At 37.5% G+C, this 22,969-nt stretch overlaps 1 protein-coding gene across 1 annotated transcript in view; it reads right to left on the bottom strand.

Annotated features, from left to right (window-relative positions):
* GRXCR1 (glutaredoxin and cysteine rich domain containing 1) overlaps positions 1-22,969 on the bottom strand; it is a 137,946-nt gene that overhangs the window by 66,091 nt on the left and 48,886 nt on the right. Inside the window, exon 2 of the mRNA NM_001080476.3 lies at positions 1,434-1,676. Coding sequence (NP_001073945.1) covers positions 1,434-1,676 — 243 coding nt within the window. The remainder of the gene's footprint in view (positions 1-1,433; positions 1,677-22,969) is intronic.

Raw genomic sequence — 22,969 nt, 5'->3', positions numbered from 1 at the left:
GGGATAATTGTTCATATTTCCTAAAAACATACTTTGTTCCAGGTACAGGAACCAAGTGCTTAATATGTATTAGCTCAATATTCTCACAATCAGCCTATGGGATAAGTTGTATTCTTATTCCCATTTTACAAATGAGAAAACCAAAGCACAGAGTCACATGGTAAGTGTCAGGACAGGAATTTAAAACAAGTCTGTCTGACCCCAGTGCTTGCTCTTAACCAGTATGCCATATGAAAGTTTATTTCTAAGACTACCCTGAGGATTACATGAAATGACAGATGCAAAGCTGTGAGTGCAGTAGAGTGTTATTATTACTATTATTATTTATTTTTTTACCATGATTGTTACTGCTATTGTCATTTTCTGCAACCTAAGGATATATGTTGAAATGCAACAAAAAGAGGATCAATACTTCAAATCAGCATTCCTCTACTACAGAATGTAATGTGTGTCCAGCTCTGGTTAAAAGTACAATCACATAGTGTCATAGCTATTGAATCACAGCTTCTCTACATTTATCTTTTCATAAAATGACAGGGTATTAAAACACAGATTGATTCCCTGAAACAAAATGTGAGCATCTCCTGTTCTAGATTTTTATAACCTCCTCTGAAAAATGAAGGTTAAGAGCAGATGCTAAATGAAACCAAGATCCAAGTATCCATCTGTGGTTCGACGGTCTCTGTTCTGTGATAAGTGATCATGTAGTCAGCTCCTAAACTGGTTGCTGGTGTCCCTTGGCTCTTTGCTCTCACCTTTTCCAAAGTGTACTCTCTGGAGCCCTGTCTGTGGGCTTCTTCCACAGGATGTTCACAGATCAATGGGAGTTAACTACACTAACAATATTATTCAAAGAGCAATGAAACAGGCATGTTCTGCTGCTGCTCTGGGAGTTCTCTCTGCTTACCGTAAGCCTGAATTTATGTCTCCAACTGCTGCAGTACCCAAGTTAAAAATAATTTTAAACAAGCAGATAAAATTCTGGCTCCAGGCCCCATTTCTTATTGATTTCATTTCAGGACTATCATCTTAGGTTCATTAGTAGGAAACTGATTGATAATGCTGTATATGAGAATTTATAAATATATATCTTATAAATATCCATTTTTCTTGCCTACACTAAAAATACAGTCTTTATCCCACATGCCAAGCTTCACAGTGCAAAACTGAAGTTAACTGAATATTTTTAAACATTTATTTCTATTCAAAAATGCAGTTTCTTGTTGATTTTATCTCACTGTACTTCTTCAGGGAGGAGCACTGTGGCAGCTCATTGTCTGGGACAGAAATAAGTGCTCCAATCCCTTTGGTTTGAGCTCCAAAAAAACCAGCAAGTGTTCCAGTAGTTACGCTGCAAATGTATAGATGGTTATAGATTTCTATCAGCCCTGGTTGGGTTCTATGAAAAAGACTTTCCTGGGCAGCTTACTTACCCCAAGGTAATGGCCATCAATGAACACAACAGGGAGGGAAGGAGCTTCAGAAACTCGTCGGCATCGTTCGTCTAACTCTTTTCCATATTCACCATTCAGGGCTATGTTTTTCTCTTCAAATTTTACGCGATGGTTTTGGAAAATCTTTCTAACCAGTTCACATCTTTCAAAGGTTGTCCGGACCACACGAAGGCAGGTGGTATAAATCACTACACGGTCAAATTCTAGATCAGTTGATGGTTGCTGAAGGGAAAACATTGAGTTGTAAGAATGTTTGCTTTTACTTTCTTGTGTCTTATGATTTTAAGACAATTAAAAATTGCGTTAAAGCCATGCAATAAAATTGAATGAACACATTTGTCAATTCAAAGACTTACCTTTTTAAGTTACAACATCTGTAATTGGGATACAGATAGCAATCAATATAATATATTACATAATTTAATTTTTTTCCTTTTCTCAGTAGCATATCAAGTAATAGCTAATCTTAAAGTTGATCACATCTCACATGGGATGCCATGTGGTAAAATAGTAAATGACTGAAATATTTTTCTTATGTTTCATAGACATTGCTCAATTACGATATCTGTTTCATAAACCTAAAGTTTATGCCACAGAATAGTCAAGGTTATAATGCATTTAGCCAGTTAAAATTCTTCTACTTATCAATTTATCCAATTGTACAGTCTTTGGGGCAACAATTTCCTGGGAATAACAAGACCTATTATCATGGGATTTTTCTAAGTTTTAAGTAGCATGACATATGTGCAAGGGCTCTGTTGAGTGACAGGGCTCCCACATGTAGTGAGAAAGTTATGCCACAAGAAATAAAACAATTAAATGTTCCAGAATGGGAGTGCACAGAAATCAACACCAAAGTGAGTGGTGGGTCAAAGCCAGGCATAAAAAGGAAACAAGGAATCAGACACACTGGAGGGGAGGCAAGCAACACTCAAAAACAAGATGAAGACTGTCCTGTGTGAGAATCTTTTTCTACATTTCAGATGTCAGTGACTGCTTTCCCAGGAAACCCTGGCCAGCACTGCTAATGTGTGCTGAAGAGCCATACCAGGTAGGTACTGAAATCAATAAGAAAGCTTCTCTTCTTCCTTATCACAGTCTTAGTTGAAGGAAACTGAACAGAACACAACTATACCATGAGACCATGGGATACATGAGTCTTCACAAAGCTGTAATTTTTTAAAGCACAACCACACAATTTGCAAAACCCCTGTGGAGTCAAAACTTTGGAAACCATTCTGGACAGCTAAATACTAAAGCAAGCCAGTAGGACACTAACCTCCACCACTTTGTACGCAGAGAAATCAGACCACTCTGCCAAGATGCACGTGGACAGGTAACACTCCAAAGGTTCAATGTCATAAAGATGCCAATACAAAGTTCTCCACCTTATGGAGAGAGAATTTTTCTGATGATAAAATGTAATAAAGATGCAAGAATCATTTCTTTCCACAATAGAGTGTAGAGGTTAAGTTGAAAACCCAGAGGCCTGGAGGAATTAAGTTGGTATCATAAATGCTGAAGCAGGTCAGGAGTAAAAGAAATACTAGGGAAATGCTAAGAATAGCATCTAAATAGAGAAATGTTACACAGATTAGGCAATTGTTGTCTTGCAGGCAGGTGACTTCAGTGTGGTTACACATAATTATTTTACGTAGCAACTTAAAATCTGGATTTTTATAGGAAATTTTCTGATTTATAAATGGTGATGCCTAACTGTAAATGCTTTTAAAGATCATGTGGACCAATATTTCTGAAGACTGGATTTGGCACATACTGCAAATTTACTACAACTAAGATAAAGAGAGCATAGCAGCACTATTGACAATAGCAAAGACGTGAAATCAACCAAAATGCCCGTGAATGATAGCCCGGATAAAGAAAATGTGGTACATATGCACCATGGAATACTATGCAGTCATGAAAATGAATGAGATCATGTTCTTTGCAGGGACATGAATGGAGCTGAAAGCCGTTATCCTCAGCAAACTAACATGAGAACAGAAAACCAAACACCACATCTTCTCACTTATAAGTGGGAAGTGAACAAAGAGAGGATGTGGACACAGGGAAGAGAACAACACACACTGGGGCCTGTCAGAGGGTGAGGTGGGGAGAGTGAGAGCATTAGGAAAAATAGAAAATGCATGCGAGGCTTAATACCTAGGTGATGGGTGGATAGGTGCAGCAAACCACCATGGCACACATTTACCTACATAACAAACTTGCACATCCTGCACATGTTCCCCAGAACTTAAAATTAAAATTAAAATTTTAAAAAAGGAGAGGATAAGCTTGAAAATCAGATATACCTGAGCTCTGCCACTGGCCACCTGTGTATCTTTGGGAAGCTAATGAACTATTGTCTCAGTGTTCTCATCTGTGATGACAGTGATGAGAATGTGATAATAACAATAGCTACCTAACAAGTTTGCTGAGAAGATTAAGTAAGAGAAAATGTGAAAAAAAAACACAAGTGTAGGACTTGTGACACACTACTATTCTAAGTTGAGCAGAGAAAAATATTGCACTTCACATCGTGGAATTTTTAAGATTAAAAAAACAAATATAAGTCAGTGGAAAAAATCAGTGTAATTGATGACATAAAGGAAATTATTACTATGTTTTGATTTAGAAACACTGATCTTTAGAGGGAGCAACCAAGTGCCCAAGGGTCTATACCTCCTCTTCATATTAACAGGTATCAGCAAGCAAGGCACAGAAACTCACTGCAGATGCTGCAGCTTTCAGAAGAGCACCGAAGTTCTCTTTTTTCTTATTATATTATCTGTGTAATTATGCATTTTTCCTCTGAATACAAAGACTACTATTACTGCATTAGTTTTCTACCAAAATGATCCACTACTTCGAATAGGTACATTTACTTCTGAATTATTTGTTCTGAAATACTTTTCCCAGATGTGTCAAAGTGGAAAAATTTAAGATTGGACCAACTTGCTGCCATGTTAACCAACTCATGTAAGATTCTCTCTGAATCTTATAGAACAAACCATGTATACCACCTTTCTGTGTCTCTAAGACACATGCATTTTCAAAATACTAATAAGATGACCCCTATCGGGTAGCCACGTTGGATGTCATCTAATGTATGAGATCACATGGATATCCCTTTACCTGTTGTTGAGGATGAGCTTTGCCTGGAATCAGTGGATCTCAAGAATGTTGAATGTTAGAATAAACTGGGGATCCTTTGAAAATCTCCAAATCCTAGACCAAGCCCATACCAATTAAATAAGAATCACCAGGCTGGGGCCTCTGAATTGCAATTTTTTTTTAAGTTCTAATGTGATTCTAATGTAGAGCCAAGTTCTAGAGCTAGTTAGATAAAGATTGGACATGCAGAATCACAGGCCTCGCCCCAGATCTACTGACTCAGAATCTACATTTTAAAAAGCTTCTTGGAATTTGGAAACATATTATATATTTTTAAGTTGTACATACTTAAGGTGTATAATATAATGTTTTGATATACAGAGTTAAATAATTACTGCAGTCAAGCAAATTAATACATACATTATTCCACATAGCTACATTTTTGCGGTAAAATTGCCTAAAACCTATTCTTTTAGCAAATTTTGAATATGTAATATAATATTATTAACTATAATCCTCATGTGGCACATAGAACATCTCCCTATTATATCCCCCTTCTTCCCTTCCATCCCCCACCACTAACAGCCACCATTCAACTGTTCCTATGTATTTGAGATTGCTTTTGTTTGTTTTTCAGATTCCACATATAAACGAGATCACGCAGTATTTTTCTTTCTCTGCCTGGCTTATTTCACTTAGCATAATATTCCCTAGGTTCATCTATGTTATCACAAATAGCAATATCTGTTTCATTTTTAAGGCTGAATCGTATTCATTGTTTATATATACCACAATTTCTTTATTAATTTATCCATTAAAGGATACTTAGGTTGTACCTATATCTTGGCAATTGTAAATAATGATGCAATAAACATAAGCATGAGAGTGCAGGTGTCTTTAAGAGTTGGTAATTTCATTTCCTTTGAGTATATACCCAGAATGAGGATTGTTGGGTTATATGATAGTTCTGTTTTTCATTTCTTTAGGAATATTCATAATGTTCATAATGGCTACAGTAATCTACTTCCCACCAACAGTGTATGATTGTTCCCTTTTCTTCACACATGTGCAACACTTGCTGTTTCTTGTCTTTTTAATAGCAGCCATCCTAAGAAGTGTAAGGTGATATCTCACTGTTTTGATTTGCACTTCCCATTGTGGTTTCCATATTATTGATGTTGAGCACTTTTATATATCTCTCTTGGCTATTTGTATGTCTTCTTCGGAGAAATATCTATTCTGGTCATCTGTTCATTTTTTAAATTGGATTATTTGGTTTTTGCTATTGAGTTAGTTATTTGTGTTCCTAAATACTTGGGATATTAACCCCTTATCTATATATGGCTCACGAATATTTTCCTCTGATCAATTAACTGCATTTTCATTTCATTGATAATCTTATTTGCTGTACAGAAGCATTTTAGTTTTGCGTGCTCCCACTTGTTTATTTTTCCTTGCATTACCTGTGTTTTGGGGAAAATATCCAAAACTTAAAAAAATTCTTGCCAGGGGTGATATCAAGGAGTTTTCACCTATGTTTTCTAGGAGTTTTATAGTTTGGGGTCATATACTTAGATCTTTAATCCATTTTGAATATGTGGTATAGGATAAGGGTCCAATTTCATTCTTTTGCATGTAGATATTCAGTTTTCCCAACACCATTTCCCATTGCATCTTCTTAGTCCCTTTGTTCAAAATTAGTTTACCTTGTGTAGTTGGGTTTATTTCTGTTACCAGGAAGTGTAGGAGTCCTCATTTCTTGTTTAACTTAAAAGAAAGAATTCAGCCAAGAGACACATAGCAAGGGTTAAGAAGCAAAGTTTGCAAGAGTCACAGCATTCCTGGCATTGGTATGCCCTCTAATGCACATATGGGTACAGTGACCAAAGATTTAGATCACAGCATTCAATTCCCTTTGAATACTTGGAAAGCCTTCTCAAGATAGATGGGTACAAACAAGCCCATGCTGCAAAGGCTGGAATAAATACCTAACTCTTCAATGCTCACATATTGACAGACATCTATAAGCATTAAAAGCATCCAGGAAAACATATCATCAAATGAATTAAATAAGTTACCAGTGACAAATTACAGAGTGACCTGTCAGACAAAGCATTTAAAATAGCTGTTTTGAGGAAGCTCAACAAAATCTAAGATGACACAGAGAAGGAATTCAGAATTCTATCAGATAAATTTAACCAAGAGCTTGAAATAATTTAATAAAAGAATCAAGCAGAAATTCTGAAGCTGAACAATTCAATTGACAAACTGAAGAATACATCAGGGTCTCTCAGCATCATTGATCAAGCAGAAGAAGGAATTAGTGAACTTGAAGACAGGCTATTTGAAACTACATAGTCAGAGGAGTCAAAAGAAAAAGAATAAGAAATAATGAAGCACACCTATAGGATCTACAAAATAGCCTCAAAGAAGTAAATCTAAGAGTTATTGGCCTTAAAGTGGAGGTAGAGAGAGAGGGATTGGGGTAGAAAGTTCACTCAAAGACATAAAGACAGAGAACTTTCCAAACCTAAAGAAAGATAGCAATATTAGAGTACAAAATAACAGCTACCCATTCATTCAGTCATTAGAATAATTTGTTTGCCAAACACAGTATTAAGCACTAGGTGTATAATGGTGAGCAAACAATATAATTCCATATCAACATGGAGTTCATAGTTAAAAGTAATAGAAAGCCAAAATATCACATAAATATAGAATTACAAGCTGCTAGGTACTATTAATGAAATGCAGAAGTAATTAGGAAAGCATAGTGCGTGGGTACCTTCTCTTCTTGTCTTAGAGATCAAGAAAATATTTTCTGATATTTGAGGTTAAGTTGGGAGAATAAAAGTTAACAAAGAAATTAGGTAGAGAGTGGAGGAAAAGCATTTCATGCAAGTACAAAGATCTTAAGATGGGAGGAAGATAACATGTTTGACACTCTTCAAATGTTATTTCTTGATACACAAGAAGGGAAAAATGGAATGGTATTAAGTGACTCTAGATAGGTATGAAGGGTTGATACCATGTTGTATTTTATAGCCATGTTGTATTTTAATGATCTTGGGTCTTTTACCCTACAGCAACGAGAAACCCCTAAAGGGTTTTAGGAAGGATAGAAGGAGTTGCACTAAACCTGGTTTACGTTTCAAAATGATAAGTAAAGAAGGACCAGTGGGGGTAGTTGTGCAAGATACACACTGCACAAACTTAGGCAGGGCCATTAGTAGCATATTCTAAACAAACAGTTCCCCCAGGGTTGTGTAGTCCACGTTTTGAGCCATTATACTCAGTCTCATTGCCAGTTCCCTTGCTCAGGAGACTGAGGCTGAATATGGGGCAAATTCAGGGTAGAAAGTATAGTTATAAATTAAAATACACTATTCAGTAAAATGTTCTGAAAAAAGATTTTACTGTACAATTTTTGTATGATTTGGAAGTAGGTCTTTCTAGAGGTAGAGTGATAAGTTGGATGATTTCTCAAGGTCTTTTCCAGTTTTATATGAACTTTAAATGATATTGCCTTTGGCAAAAAAAAAAAAAATCCTCCTCTTCTACATTTGCTACATTTTCCTTCCCTCAATAGATTTGTCAAAGCATCTGGCCAGAAGTCTAAAAATAGCCTCTAATGGCTGTCCCTCTTCTCCCTTCCTGAGGGTTACCATGGGAATAGCGTATGAAGGATGGAAGCATCTGAGACAGCACTGAGAAGCCTTTGGGGTCTGCAGCCTCCAGCTCTGAGAGAGCCGACCTAGATGGTAATAAAGATAGGCCATTTTTTCCTTTCTGTTTATTAAAAAGATGAATCTTAGGGATGCCTGGAAGCCTTACAACAACCTGCAGCACATGCAGATGTGTTGGAAAGGGATGGAAATTACTGCAAATCAGACTAAGGAGTTACCAAATAGCTAACCTATGTCCTCAGCCTGCACATCGCCCTGCAGTAGCCACAGCACAACAATGAGTACTTTAGTCACCCCCTCATCTTGGGACAATTGTGGAGCTTCCACATCCACTGAAACTAATCCTGGAATTCAGGCCAAGAATTATTATCCACCCATCCCCCACAGAAGATCAGCACGGAGCAGGCTCAGCTCCTCAGGCAGATGCAAATCCAGTGGGTTATTTCAAGCTATGTCTTTTTAGCTCTAGCCTCGCACTGATTTTAAAAGCCCTCCTGAAATGGGTCTCCTAGCCTTGCCCCAGTGAGTCCCCAAATCACTGAGAACTTAGAGGCCTCCAGAAAGCTGCAAGAATTCAGACCTTAAGCAATTTGTTTAAATAAATAAAAAATAACACATTTGAATATCAGTGGCAGACATAATGCTAATAACTTTATATTCATCAATTCCTCACAATAACTTACATAGTGTTGCTGTATTTACAGATCTAGAAACCTAGGCTCAGAAAGAGTAAGTATCCTCATATCCTTGACAAGGAGACAGAGTTGACGTTCAGCAAAATTAGAAAATTGGAACTCAGTTGTGCACCATTCCAAAGTCCACGTGCTTTCCACTGAGCCAAGACGAAACACTGAACCACACGTGGTTTTGCTACCCACTCCTGAGGATAAAGTTGTTACTAAACTACAAACTGCTATTGGCCTAATTCATTGCTGGTGAGATAATGGTTGTGAATTAAAGAGGTTTGCCTCTTTAATAAATTATGGTCCCACATGTATCGGTCACTTACATCACACGGGGCATGTTGAATATTTTTTTTTCAGTCTAAAATGATTTCTTTGAGATGGGTGAGGGAGAGATATTTTTTCCTATACATAAAGGCAAAGAGGCAAAGTGATTAGCTCAAAGCAATACAGCACGTCAGTAGGCAAACTGGGACTAGACCCAGATTTCTTGATTATCAGGCAGTGGGCCAACCTGGCTCCAGGAACAGCGATTTTAAATAGCAGGCACATGCGGCTGGAAGCAGGGCTGTGGGCCTAGTAAAGGGCAAGAAATTTTACATATATCGCTCTCTCTCCCTCTCCATGATATTCTGTAAACCTCTATAGTTAAATGTGCATTATGAGATTCTTCTTAATACTAAATTTGAGTAAATAAATCTCTGCCCACCTTGCTCTCAAATCACATCTTGAATTCTTATTCTTGCACTTAATATGATTTGTAAATAAACTTTATCCACAGCAAGCTTTATCCACATCAGGCTTCTCTCTTAGCTTATTTCCTAGATCTGTTTCCATTCTAACCATACTCTCTATTCAGCTCTGAAGGTGAGTGGTAATTTTCTACATCAAATTCCCCTCCTCACATTTGGACCACAAAACATCAAAAGGAACTTCTCTATGTGCCTCTATAAGACACAAATTATAAAAAATAATTATTTATCACATGACTGCTGCATATTTATATGCAGTTCTAGAGACTGCAAAAGGAACTCTACATATGCACTTTTCATTTATCATAGTGGTAAAGATTATGGCCCAGGTTTTATAGACATGGAAACTAAGATGTGGAAATAAAGTTAAGGTGCCCAAATGAGTTAGAGGGGAAAAGGGAGCAGAACCAGAATTTGAACCTAAGTCTGCCTCCTAAGTCCTTACTCTTTCCTTAAGAAGATGTTATATAACCTTCTTAAATACAATGACCAAAGGACCACCCTGTTCTAAAATAGTGGTAAAATGTACCATGAAGAGGCTGTCACAGGGACAGTCCTAGAAATTCCATTACTCATCCCTACGCTTTCTTCTAATCTCTGGTTAAATGTCACTTCTCAGACAGGCCTTCCCTCATCGCACTATGGGAAACCCCTCTATCCTCTTACCCAGTTCTTTGCTAGTACTGCTGGATGTTACATTGTATATACTAACTGGTTCACTATCTATCCACACACATTAAGACATAAACTCACTGAAGCAAGGACTTAGTTTTTTTCATTAGAACTAAGAACCCAGAATATAACCTAGTGCATATGGATACTCCATAAATATTTTCTGGCCTCTTTTCCATACATTTAATCAGAACTTGGTGGCCGGTAATTTCCCCCTTAGTAACCGGATAATCCTGGACAGTTTCCTGACCAGTCTTAGTTTTCTTATCTTTAAATATAGACACTAGTGCCTATTTCATGGGGATTTGTGAGGTTTGAATGATTAAATGCATAGAAAAACCCTTATTAGGAAGACTAATGAATCATGAACTCTCAGTAAATGATATATTTTTATTAATATTATTATAAAATGTTATTGACACATATCAGCACTATCACCATTATTGCTATGAACAAAAAATCCAAATCCACAGTCTTCAACCTCATAAGCTCAAATGGCAAACTTTAACCTCATAATTACACAATGATCAAAAAAACAATCTCTTATTGAGGTAAATTGCTCTTTTCTAAAAAAAATCAACAACAGCATTTATTTTTCTCATGAATTTGCAATTTGGCTATGGCTAGGTGAGGACAGCCCATCTGTTCTACACTTCCCACCAGCTGGGGAACTAGAAGCCTGGGGCTGTAATCATGTGAAGAACCTTTCACTCACATGACTGGCAGTTGATGCTGGCTGGTGGCTAGGATTGTAGCTGAAGCTGTCTTCCAGAACACCTACTCATAGCCTTGTCCTGTACTTTCTTGTAACATGGTGTCAGGTTCAAAGGGTAAACATCCTAAAAGAGCAAGGGCCGGGTGGAAGACTTATTGCTTTCTAGCCTTCACTTGGAATCACTTTTGCTGTACTCTATTCATGAAAGCAGTCATGAAAACCCACACAGATTCAAGGGGAGAGGAAATAGACTCCCACTTCTTGATAGAGGAATGGCAAAGTTCTGGAAGACCATGTGGAACCAGAGATCTTGCTGTGGCCATTGTTTTTGGTGGGGGAAAGTATAATTTCCATGCAACCTGGTAAGTTTGCTACAATCCAGAGTCTTGGCCCTCAGACATGCAACCTGGGAAATTCACCATTGGCTGGCTTTTTGGATCAAGATACTGATGTGTAAGACTAGAATGCCTATTTATTATTTACAATAAAAAGAACATGTCCTTGACGTAGGACCGCTCAAATTCTCTATGCTTTCAATATTCTTAGTGAGCATAGAATCAGAACAAAGGAGTAAGGGATTTGATTCAATGGCTTGAATAGGAGCAGGTCAAATTATGTCTGAATTTTTGAGTTGTCAAAGGGATATGAATTATTAGTATTCAGTGACTGAGACTTCTGGGGTTTCTCTCGATGCTTCCCTCTGTGATTCCCCTTTGTGTAGCTTCCTTAGCTGATCAACTGCTCCTTTGGAATATTCTTTCTTTGGGTGTGCTGTTCCACTCAACCTCATCAATCTAGGTTGGCTGAGGGGAGCCATTCTGCTCCTATGAGTATGACTTTCCAATTTAATTTTCTAATTTATCTTGTCTTGATCTTATAGGGTATATCTCAGAAAGCAACCCTAATTCTTTTATTTCTTATTTCTTATGGGAAGAAGAAGTACAACTACTGACAAGAGAGTTCACAGTAGTCAAGGTGGGAGAAGGTGGTTTGGACTAAGGTAATGTTGGTGAGGTAGGGGGTGGTCAAGTGAATGGAAAGGGGTTAGGATGGTATAGTCAGCTTTGTTGGTGCTTTGTGTAGGCCCCTTCACGAGGTCAGTGCCTCAATCCCCCAGGTGGTGTGAGTGTTGCTTGCTAACGGCTCTCAGCTGCCTTCTTCTTTGGAGAATTGGTCTCACTCAGTGGAGCCTACTCAGCTAGAAAAGTGGTGGGAACATAAAGTTTATAACCAACAACTAACTGATACTGGAGTAATAAAGCCCTGCTCTCTTTTCTCAAAATGAGGCAACTCTGCCCTTCACATTTGTTTGGGATATGCTATCAATTCTGATCATGAAAAACAATAGAGTCAAGCATATATAAGCATACAGCAGATGTCATAAAAATCTCTCCAAGTTCAGTTGCCCACTTTGTGGCATAACAGAGATGCATAAGCATAATCTTTGCATAAAAAGATTTCTTCAGAGTGTTTTCTATTTTCTCAGTGCTCTCAGATCAAATAAGTGAATTTCAGTTATTTCCTCAGGAATTATCCATTTGTCCACATCAATTACTGAATGAGCCTAGACGTTAACTGCAAAGACAATGAACCCAATAAATCTTCCACACCAAAAGAAAATCGCTGATTATTAGGCAAATGCAAATCAAAACCACAATGAGATATTATCTCATGCCAGTCAGGATGGAGATTATTAAAAAATCAAGAAACAACAGATGCTAGTGAGGATGTGGAGAAAAGGGAATGCTTTTACACTGTTGGTGGGAATGTAAATTAGTTCAACCATTGTGGAAGAAGTGTGGTGATTCCTCAAAGATCTAGAAGCAGAAGTACCATTTGACCCAGAAATCCCATTACTGAGTATATACCAAAAGGAATACAAATCATTCTATCATAAAGATACATGAACACATACGTTCATTGCAGCATTACGATGACTGGGATCTACCTCTTTAGCAACGTATATCAGAGGAAACTAAGACTCACTCAGTTTAATTATTTGAGTCAAACTTTTCTTTAGGAACAAAAATGTTGCTGTGCAAAGAAAACCAATCTCAAGCCTTTGCTTTGACAGTTAGTAGCTGTGATGGTTAATGTTATGTGTCGACTTGGCTAGGGGATGCTCAGATATCTGATTAAACATTATCTCTGGGTATGTCTGTGAGGGTGTTTCTGGAAGAGATGAGCATTTGCAATGTAATGAGCATTTAGAAGCAGATAGCCTTCCCTGATGTAGGTGGTCAACGTACCATCTGTTGAGTGAGTGAATAGAACAAAAAGGCAGAGGAAGGTTGGATTTGCCTTCTCTCTACCTGGCTGCTTGAGCTAAGACATCAAGCTTCTCCTGACCTTGGTGCTTCTGAATCTTATGCCTTCAGACTCAAACTTAAATCTACACCATCAGTTATCTGGATGTCAGGTCTTCAAACTACATCATTGGATTTCCTGAATCTTGAGCTTGAAGACTACAGGTTGTAGGGCTTCTTAGCCTCCATAATCCCATGAGCCTATACCATGTAATAAATCTCTTCCTAGATATAGATATCTGGATACATAGAGAGAGAGAGAGAGAAATATAGACATAAATATAGACATATAGACATAATGTAGACATATAGACATAGATATTATACAAATATAGATACTATATTGGTTCTGTTTCTCTGGAGAATGCTGACTAATATAGTAGTGGTATGAATTTGAGGAGGTCCATTTACTTTTCCAGGACTAGGTTTTCTGTTCTCTAATATGGGAATAGCTACAGTCTCGCCTACAAGAGAGTTGTAGGATTATATGTAAAATCCACATGAAGACACATTGTTAATTATAAATATTCACAAACATGCCATCTATCACTACTACCCAAAGTGTCATAGCTGGAAGAAAGAGGGATTAGAATCTAATTCAGAAATATCTCCCGGTAACCACATTCCTACTAAACAAAAATGTCTATCTTGTAATATGAATATCTTGGCTTCTATACATATTGTCAAAAATGCTATGTATTGGCATTTTACATTTTGCTAATCTCTGTAGATAAAACTGATATGAGGATGACCACCAAAATCATCATATTCAGGAGCCTCTAATCTCAAAATTATGAGCTTACAACAGTTAAAAGCCAGGCAGCGAATAAGTCAGGAACATCTTGCAAATGGAGAAATTTCTAAAATATTTTTCCTCTTATTTGTTAAAATATTCAAGTTGCAGACCAGAAGAAAAGGGACTACAATATTGAACAATGGCATCAGAGTATTAAGTGGCTAGAGAGCCCCGCATTAACCATTTTCGTAACACCCTTCATCTTTGTTACAAGAACCCCAGTGCTCTCTCTTAAAGGGAAAGGTGCCCTTTCTCTTCTACTGTATTTTATATATTATATCTACAATATTATATAAGATTAAAGTGTTTCTCAATTTTCTGCATCAAGAAAAATGCCTGAATAATCACCTAAATGCAGCCAATCCCTTTCTGTGCATTTGGATGCTGTAAGAATCTACTTTACGGGTTGAAATACCTGTACTTCGTCTCAGCCTGATTCTTTCATAAATGTCAGTGTGATGAAGAGAAGTTATTTCAGTCCCTGTAGAATTCCCAGAATAGACTGAGAACTGAGGGCAAGAAAGCCAGTGAAAATTCAGAATTTGAGAAAATTGGACACAGCCTCAGGGAAACCCCCATTCCCATTTCCTCCTCAGGCTTCCAGGCTTCACTCTTATGTCTCTCTGACTGTACTAATGATCATGGTCCCAGTGTCACCTAAATACACTGAACTCCAGGGAAGTAAGAGCTAGAGGCCATTTATGAAAGCTTGGTTGGTGCAGAAAGCTAATATTTTTTATAAATAGCGAGTCCTTTAACTCTATAAGTAAGGTAGGTACTGTTATTATCTTAGCTTTACAAATGAAAAACCTGGGGCACAGAGAAGTATGTGACAGGACTAATGTCAGGCAACTAGCAAATGATGGAGCTAGTATTTGATTCAAGTAACTTACAGAACTCAACTATTTATATGACCTTATTAGCCATGTTCTGACTCTCTCTATATCCCAACTCATGTGATAAACAATAAGAAATTAGAGGGACTAATACAGGATTTATGAATTTTAAAGTTGTTTTTTTTTTTTTTTTTTTTTTGAGATGGAGTCTTGGTCTGTGGCCAGGCTGGAGTGCAGTGGCGTGATCTCAGCTCTCCACCTCCCAGGTTCAAGCGATTCTCCTGACTCAGCCTCCCAGGTAGCTGGGATTATAGGCACGGGCCACCACACCCAGCTTTTTTTTTGTGTGTGTGTGTATTTTTAGTGGAGAGGGGGTTTCAACATATTGGCCAGGAGGGTCTCGATCTCCTGACCTCGTGATCTGCCCACCTTAGCCTCCCAAAGTGCTGGGATTACAGGCGTGAGCCACCGGGCCTGGCCCAGAGTTTCTTAAATACATAGAGATTAAAAATAGTGTATTGGTTTCCTATTGCCGCTGTACTAAATTACTACAAAGTTAGTAGTTTAAAAACACAAAAAATTTATCTCAACAATTTCATGGTTTAGAAGTCTCATATGGGTTTCAATGGACAGAAATCAAGGTGTCAGCAGACTCATACTCCTTTTGAAGGCTCAGGGGAGAATTCCTTGTCTTGCCTTTGCCGGCTGCTAAAGGGTCCCCCATTCTGTGGATAATGGTCCCTTCCTCCATCTCTGATTCTGATCTTCCTGCCTCCTTTTTATAAGGACCCATGTTATTACACTGGGTCCATCCAGTAATCCAGGATAATATCCCCATCTCAAGAACCCTAACTTCATCACATCTACAAAGTCTCCTTAACTGTAAATTAACATATTCACAGGTTCCAGGGATTAGGAGAGGGACACCTTTCGGCAGGGTGCGGGTGGGGGCGGGGAGCTTTATTCAGCAGCCTATCACAGACAGATGGATTTTAAATACCAAGTTATAGGCATAAGACTAAAGGGCTTATTGGACTACATCTTCCTCGTGCTTATCAACTTGCTCTAGAAACACAATCTGATGGTAATTCTAATAAGGTAACCATGAAACACACTGTTCTTCCAAGACCCTTGATACAATCACTTGTGTGTAGGACTTTTCTCCAAGATGCTACTGAAGAAATGGAAAGGGCATAAAAAAGAAACAAGTGCATTAAAGAAGGGGAGATAATTTGCCTGTTCTTTATCTATCTTTTCTACTGGTTTCTATCTCTTATCTTGCAATATGCTTTCCTTTCAGGTATTAAAAAAAAAAAAAAGCCCTAGAAATTGCTGTGAAAAGCAAACACAGAGCATGACTAAGTGAGGTACTTCGCATTACATGAAAAGGAAGACACAAATGAAAATGTTTTAAATTTTTGCATAAAGCCAGAGGTTGAATTTGTCTATGTGCTCCACAAAGGAATCTAGATAATTTTTCAGCTCAGCTTCAAAGAAAACAAATAACGACAAGATTTCAAAAGCAAAAAAATGTTGCCTTCCCATCTCTTCTGCAATTTCCCCAAATTAGGTTGCTTTAATTAAAGCACCTAAATTGTGAAGCACATGAAACATACACAAGTAGATGTGTGCAATAATAGTTAAAACTATAAAAGTCATCTTTTTTCACTACATGTACTATACCATTTGGCATGACTGATGTAGTTTTGTAAAGGAAGGTTAACATTTATTATTGATTGTATATTCAAACTAAAAATAAATGCAGCTTTTGAAAACAAGATTGATTGCTATATCATTATCAGAAGGAAGAAAAAATTATTTCTGGAAACATTGGGAATTGTTTCTGGAAAGGAAAGCAGACTCTGCTTGGTTTGTCACCACAGCTCCTCAGTGGAGCTAATTATTAGATTTTGGAGATTTAGCCATTAGGAAAGGCAATCTAATGAAATTATTGAACAAAATAATAAGTCTCATTAAGTGGCAGATTTTATCATGTACAATTTTATCAGTAACCCAATCAATATTGGAAAAAGCAATCATTGAATGAAGTCTATATTCCAAGCATTATGTCAATTGAATGTACTGCCATAATCTTCACAACATACTATGCAATAGATATTATTATTTCTTTTTCATTGACAAGGAAAATGAACTACAGGGAGATTTCTAACTTGCTTAAGGTCACAAAATCATGAGACTCTTTTCCCATTGGCAAATACAACATCCCTCGTCCCTAAGTTTTCCCTGACATGTCTGGTCACTCCTCTGTGTCCAGCTAGGGTCACTCTTTCCCCTGAGCCTTCTGGTTCTCAGAGTCTCTCAGCTTTGTCCACTGACCACCTCATCCTCTCTGATGACCTCGTCCAAAATTTCAACAGCTAACTGAAGGCTGTTGAAGCCCCCAAATGTACATCCTCAGCTCAGACTCCTTTCCTACAACCCAGACTTGAAGTCCAGCTATCTGCACTCTACTTGCAAATACTTCCTACACCTTGAATTCATGAAACCTACCAAAACCAGGTCAAGCAGCACTATCTCTAGGGAGCCCTTCAAAACTCTCCATTCGGTGGGTTGTGCGCTGCCCATCTTCTGCACCCCCAGCACTAACTCCGCACCATTACGTACTTTCTGAGATCAAAAAGTGTATGTTATGTAATTTTGCATCCTCTAGACTTAATAGAATATCTGAAACATGATCATAGACACTGCTTTGGTCTAAATGACTGTGTCCCCTAAAAATTCATATGTTGAAATTTAATCCTCAATGCAATAGTATTAAGAGATGGGGCTTTTGAGAGGTGATTAGGTCATGAAGGCAGAAAACTCATGAATGGGATTAGTGCCTTTATAAAAGAGGCCAGAGGGAACTGGGTTTTTCCTTTCACCATGTGAGGATACAGCAAAAAGTTCCCATCTATGAGGAAAAAGCCCTCATCAGGGAAGCAATCTGCTCACTGTGATCTTGAACTTTCTATGCTCCAGAACTGTGAAAAATAAATTTTGTTGTTTATAAATTGCCCAGTCAAGGGTATTTTGTTATAGCAGCCTGAATAAGCTAAGACAGACAGTAAGCACATATTTGTTGAATAAGAATAAACTAAAATTTGAATGTAAGGCAGTCTGATTCTAAAGTGAATACACTTTTCACACTAGGATAATAACACAATGTGACATAAGATAAATTTTTTAAAAAAGAAAAATACCAATAATGTTTTAATTCAAAATAAGCAAGCCAACAAAATCTCACTAGTACAATATCAAATAATTGTCACTTAAGGAAGCATTTGCAGTGACCTTTTTCCTGTCTCATTAACAATTTTTAACATAACGATGATGACTAATTTCCTCCTAGCCAAATACTTGAGGTGGAAATTCAGGTTGTTGCTGTGGCATGGCTATTCCACTGGGTATATATCATTCTGAACAGTATAATTTTATAGCTCTTGCCTCTGATTAAATTGAAACTACATTGCCAGGCCAAAAGCTTCAGGCTGAGTGTTGCACAGCAGCCAACTGCTTACCCTGAGCAACATGATATATTCAAACAAATCACCAGAAGGACTCTTTTGCTTGCCCTTATCTTGTCATTTTAACAACATATAGAGAAGGAAAAGGCTGAAAAACTTGTTTACAATTAAAAGGAAATAATGCGGTAGTTTAAGTTAATTATTTTAAAACACTGGAGAGTAAGACAGTAAAGTGATGCTCAAAAACATGTATTTGTGAGAAGAGAAAGGAGGAATAAAATAAGCTAACCACCTCTAAAATAAGACAGAGAGCATCGTTATCCTTTACTACGTGGTTAAATGCTTGTGCAGATGTTAACCATGGCTGAAGAAAGCCAAGCCTGTGCCCTTCACATCATCTACCCTCCACCTGGTAGCACTCACTGTAAAGTTACCTAAAAAGTCTGCAAGAAAATAACCACCCTCTGTAGAGCTCAATTTACAATCCAAACCTCTATGCCACAGCCACTTCTTCAGCCAGAACTGGGAGGGAGAAAGCATCTTTCTCTCTATTTTCAAAGCTGTGAGAATATAAGTATAGAAGATGCCAGACATGGTGTTACCACTCCCAAAGGTAAGGAAGAAAAGAAGGAAAGAAGAAGCAGAAAGGAAAAAAGAAAAGGGGTCTTGGCAGTGTTTCCACTTTCACTGTCCATCTCCTTTCGTGCCATATCCATGATTTATTTACATGAGTCCATAAATAAATTTCTCCTTCTTTCTTTTTATGAGGTTTTTTTACATTTCTGTCATGAGCAACTGTCTGAGTCAGCTTGGGTGGGTATAACAAAATATCCTAAACTGGGTGACTTATAAACAACAGAAATTTATTTCTCACAGTTCTGGAGGCTGGGAAGCCCAAAAGCAAGACATTAGTAGATTCTGTGTCTGCTGAGGGCCTGTTCCTTATAGATGGTATCTTCTCCGCGTGTCTTCACATGGTGGAAGGGGCAAACAAGCTCCCCTTGGCCTCTTTTATAAGAGCGCTAATCTCATTCATAAAGGAAGAGTGAAGGTGACCTAATCAGCTCCTAAAGGATTCACCTCCTTTACCATGACCTTGGGAGACACTTTCCAATATATGAATTTTGAGAGTGTACAAACATTCAGACCATGACTCCAACCAAGACACTGACTGATACAACCAAGATTCCAGCAGATTTAGTGAGCTAGATTGATTATGTCTTTTGTCCTCCAAAAATAAAAACCTTTCCCAAAACAGCCTTTTTTGAAATAAAGGAGGTAGCATTTTTCACATGCTTTGGGCATAAATTTATCTCATATAGCACCTGGACTTGCACAGAATTAATGCAGACCTTAAGAATGCCTGGCTGAGCTCCTTCCTCTTGACTTCTGGTACACACAGTATTAAGAATTCTGAATTTAGAGGTAGGAAACGTAAGTTTTGAATCTTATCTCTGGTACTCTGTAGCAAGGTGATTTATAACTGATTCTGGTATTCATAAAATAGATAAAAACGTACCTACATATCCATGCCACCCAGCCCTTATGAGGATCAAAGAAAATGAATGGCAAGACTATACCTTTATAAAAATGCATAACTGGCTGTTATTAATTACTGGCATTCCCCAAGGCACGGTCTCTGAACCTCTGATATCTTTTCTATGAATTTCCTCCCATGAAGATTCATCTATTTGATTGCATAAAGCTATCATCTTGCTGTTCCTGGATCCAAGATTAATATTTCTTTTCTTTTTTTCTCGCTTGTGCTATAGTCTAACAGACATAGCACATTTAAAATCCTGATACAATCTCAAACTCAACAAGTCTAAAAGTAAACTTTTCCCCAATTCCATGTTTTCTCTGATCTTCCCTTTGGTTGGTCCATCTTCTACCAGACCCTGTAGTCACCTTCCATCCAGTCTTCTCTAGTCATCAGACTCAATCATAGGCCAATTTATATTGGGGTGGTATCCTTATAAATGTTCTCTCTTATCTGTATTGCTCTGTTCCTATTGCTGCCTTCCTATTGCCAAACGTGTTACAATTATAAAAATACACACTTTGTTAGGATACAAATCTTATTTGCTGTCTTTGTCACTGATACCTAGAATACAGTTTCTCAACCTTAGCACCATTGATATTTTGGATCACATTTTTAATTTCTGGAGGGAAGAGGTGCTGTCCTATACATTGTAGAGTGTTTAGAGGTATACATGGCATCTACCCATTAGATAGCAGTGGCAACCCCCAAGATGTAAAAACCAAAAATGTCTCTATATATTGATAAATGTCTTCTAAAAGGCAAATTTACCCACTTGAGAGCCACTGACCTAGGGCAATATCTGGCACATAGCAGGTGATGAAAAAATATTTCTTGAATGAATAAGTGATAAATATGTACCTCTACTTTAGTGATGCTCATGCTCTTCTCCATAAATCTGTCATTGCTGTTGTTGTTGTTCTCATTTTCATAACTTTGGTTTAGTTGTTTTCCGTGCTCTAGATGCTCCCTGCCTGTTACCTTAACCTAAGACCCACAGGAGGTGCTTATTAAAACTAAGTGTCCAGGACTCTGCCCTGGAAATTCTGATTCAGAAGCTCTAGAACTGGGCCCAGGGATCTTATTCGTTAGCAAGTACTTCTAGCGATCCATAAAATTGTGTAAGTTTGGGAATGAACACTGAACTGGAAGTCAAGACATCAGAGTTCCTTTCCCAGGACCACTAAACTAGCTGGGTGGGCACAGAGAACTTAACTTCAAGGCTTCACTTTCAGTATATTTCCCTCTAATTTATATACACAAATTTTCTTTCAAGGATAAACAAAATAACTATTTATTGAACAATTAACTATGCATCAGGCAATGTGCCAAGTGATTTCCCATGTTATTGAAAATTTACCTATATGTGTTATTTTTTAGAAAGGTGGAAGCTGAGACTCAGAGATATAAAACAATTTGTCCTAGTTCACATAGCTATGATGTGGAAAACCAGGATTTAACTCTGGTACCTCTATATCCCAAACTGATAATGCGATTCATTTATTAACTTGCCACATCCAGCCCTTCCATTAAGGGCTTTGTGGCTTCCTCCTGCTCTAAAACATCGTCCCTTCTCTCCTTACTCTTCAGTCCATGCTTTCCTGTGTCATTTATTAATGGCATCATATCTACAAAGTAAATTGTGAGCACCATGAAGGCAAGGTTCAGGTTTTCAAGGTCTTTTGAGTTATTATTATAGTTATCTATTTTTTATTACTTTCCACTTCTGAAATAAAACAGTATAAGGAAATAGAAAGAGCAAGGAAAATTAAATATTCTGAAATTCCTGCAAGACACAAGATGCTTTTACAAAATGTGGTCAACAGATCACCAGCATCAGCTCTCCTGTGATGCAGGTCCCAGACCCTGGTCCCACTAATTTTGTTATAGTAACCCTGTTGCTGGAGTAAGAAGCCCTCATGATTATTAGACACACTGCAGATTGCAAATCACAGAAACCTGAAGGCTTGCAGTGTTTTCACCATAAGACTGAATTTTCAAACTGCATATTTTATTTGTGCCCCATAGAGAGTAACCAAACATTCTACAGAAAGTTTGCCTATTCTTATGACTGTCAAGGGATGAGACTGTCACTTTCTTTTTCTCATTTTCACTGAAAGAGCTTCTAATTAAAACCTCCCACTGAGCTAACAGTGAGTCAGGTTCAGGTAACTACTGTGCCTTATTTCCTTGATTTTGTGAGGGAAGATAGAGTGAAATCTTATTTAAAAATACAATTTTTCTTTAAAAATACTCATCTGATTTTTAAATAAACTTCAACTCCCCCACCTTTTCTCGGTATATATGTTTCACAATGCATCCAGTTTACCATATCTGGAGTATTCAAAATTAATTATATCACATTTCTTCCTCTTGCATTTTGTAGAAATAATTTCATTGTTGTTACCATGCCTACTATCAGAATAGTTTCCAATTACGATGCTCTAGTCCCACACAGATAATTTTAGCTTTACTCTCTCTTTTAAAGACAGGACAAGAACAAGCTGTGAATTGAAACTCTCACAAACATGTTTTGAAATTATGTGCTCAAGTTGCTGTGTTAGTTTTGCATATATATCAAATTAATAAGGAAAAATGTTTCTTGATAGTTTCCTAAATTGACCTTTCTATATTATTTTTTTTAAAGAGGGAAAATGGATATTGCCACATACCTTAACTCTGTTTGTTTGTTTTGATTTTCAATAGTGGGGATAATTTTGTCTTCTAGAATTTACACACTCATTGATACGTATCATAAGATGACTGATCAATGTTAGGCCCTTCAGTTTATTACCTTTAAAGAGAAGCTTGATCTACACAATGCCAACTAAGGCCCACACCATGGTGTTATAGGGATAATATTGTTCTAGGAATCAGAAGTCCCAGATCTTATTTCTAGTTTGGTCACAACTCTGGAGCCTTTATGTTATCCTTCTGGAACTCATTTG

Source organism: Homo sapiens, chromosome 4 (assembly GCF_000001405.40).
Source record: "Homo sapiens chromosome 4, GRCh38.p14 Primary Assembly".
In the NCBI taxonomy this organism is placed as follows: Eukaryota; Metazoa; Chordata; class Mammalia; order Primates; family Hominidae; genus Homo; species Homo sapiens.
This window is presented reverse-complemented; position numbering and strand designations above follow the sequence as displayed.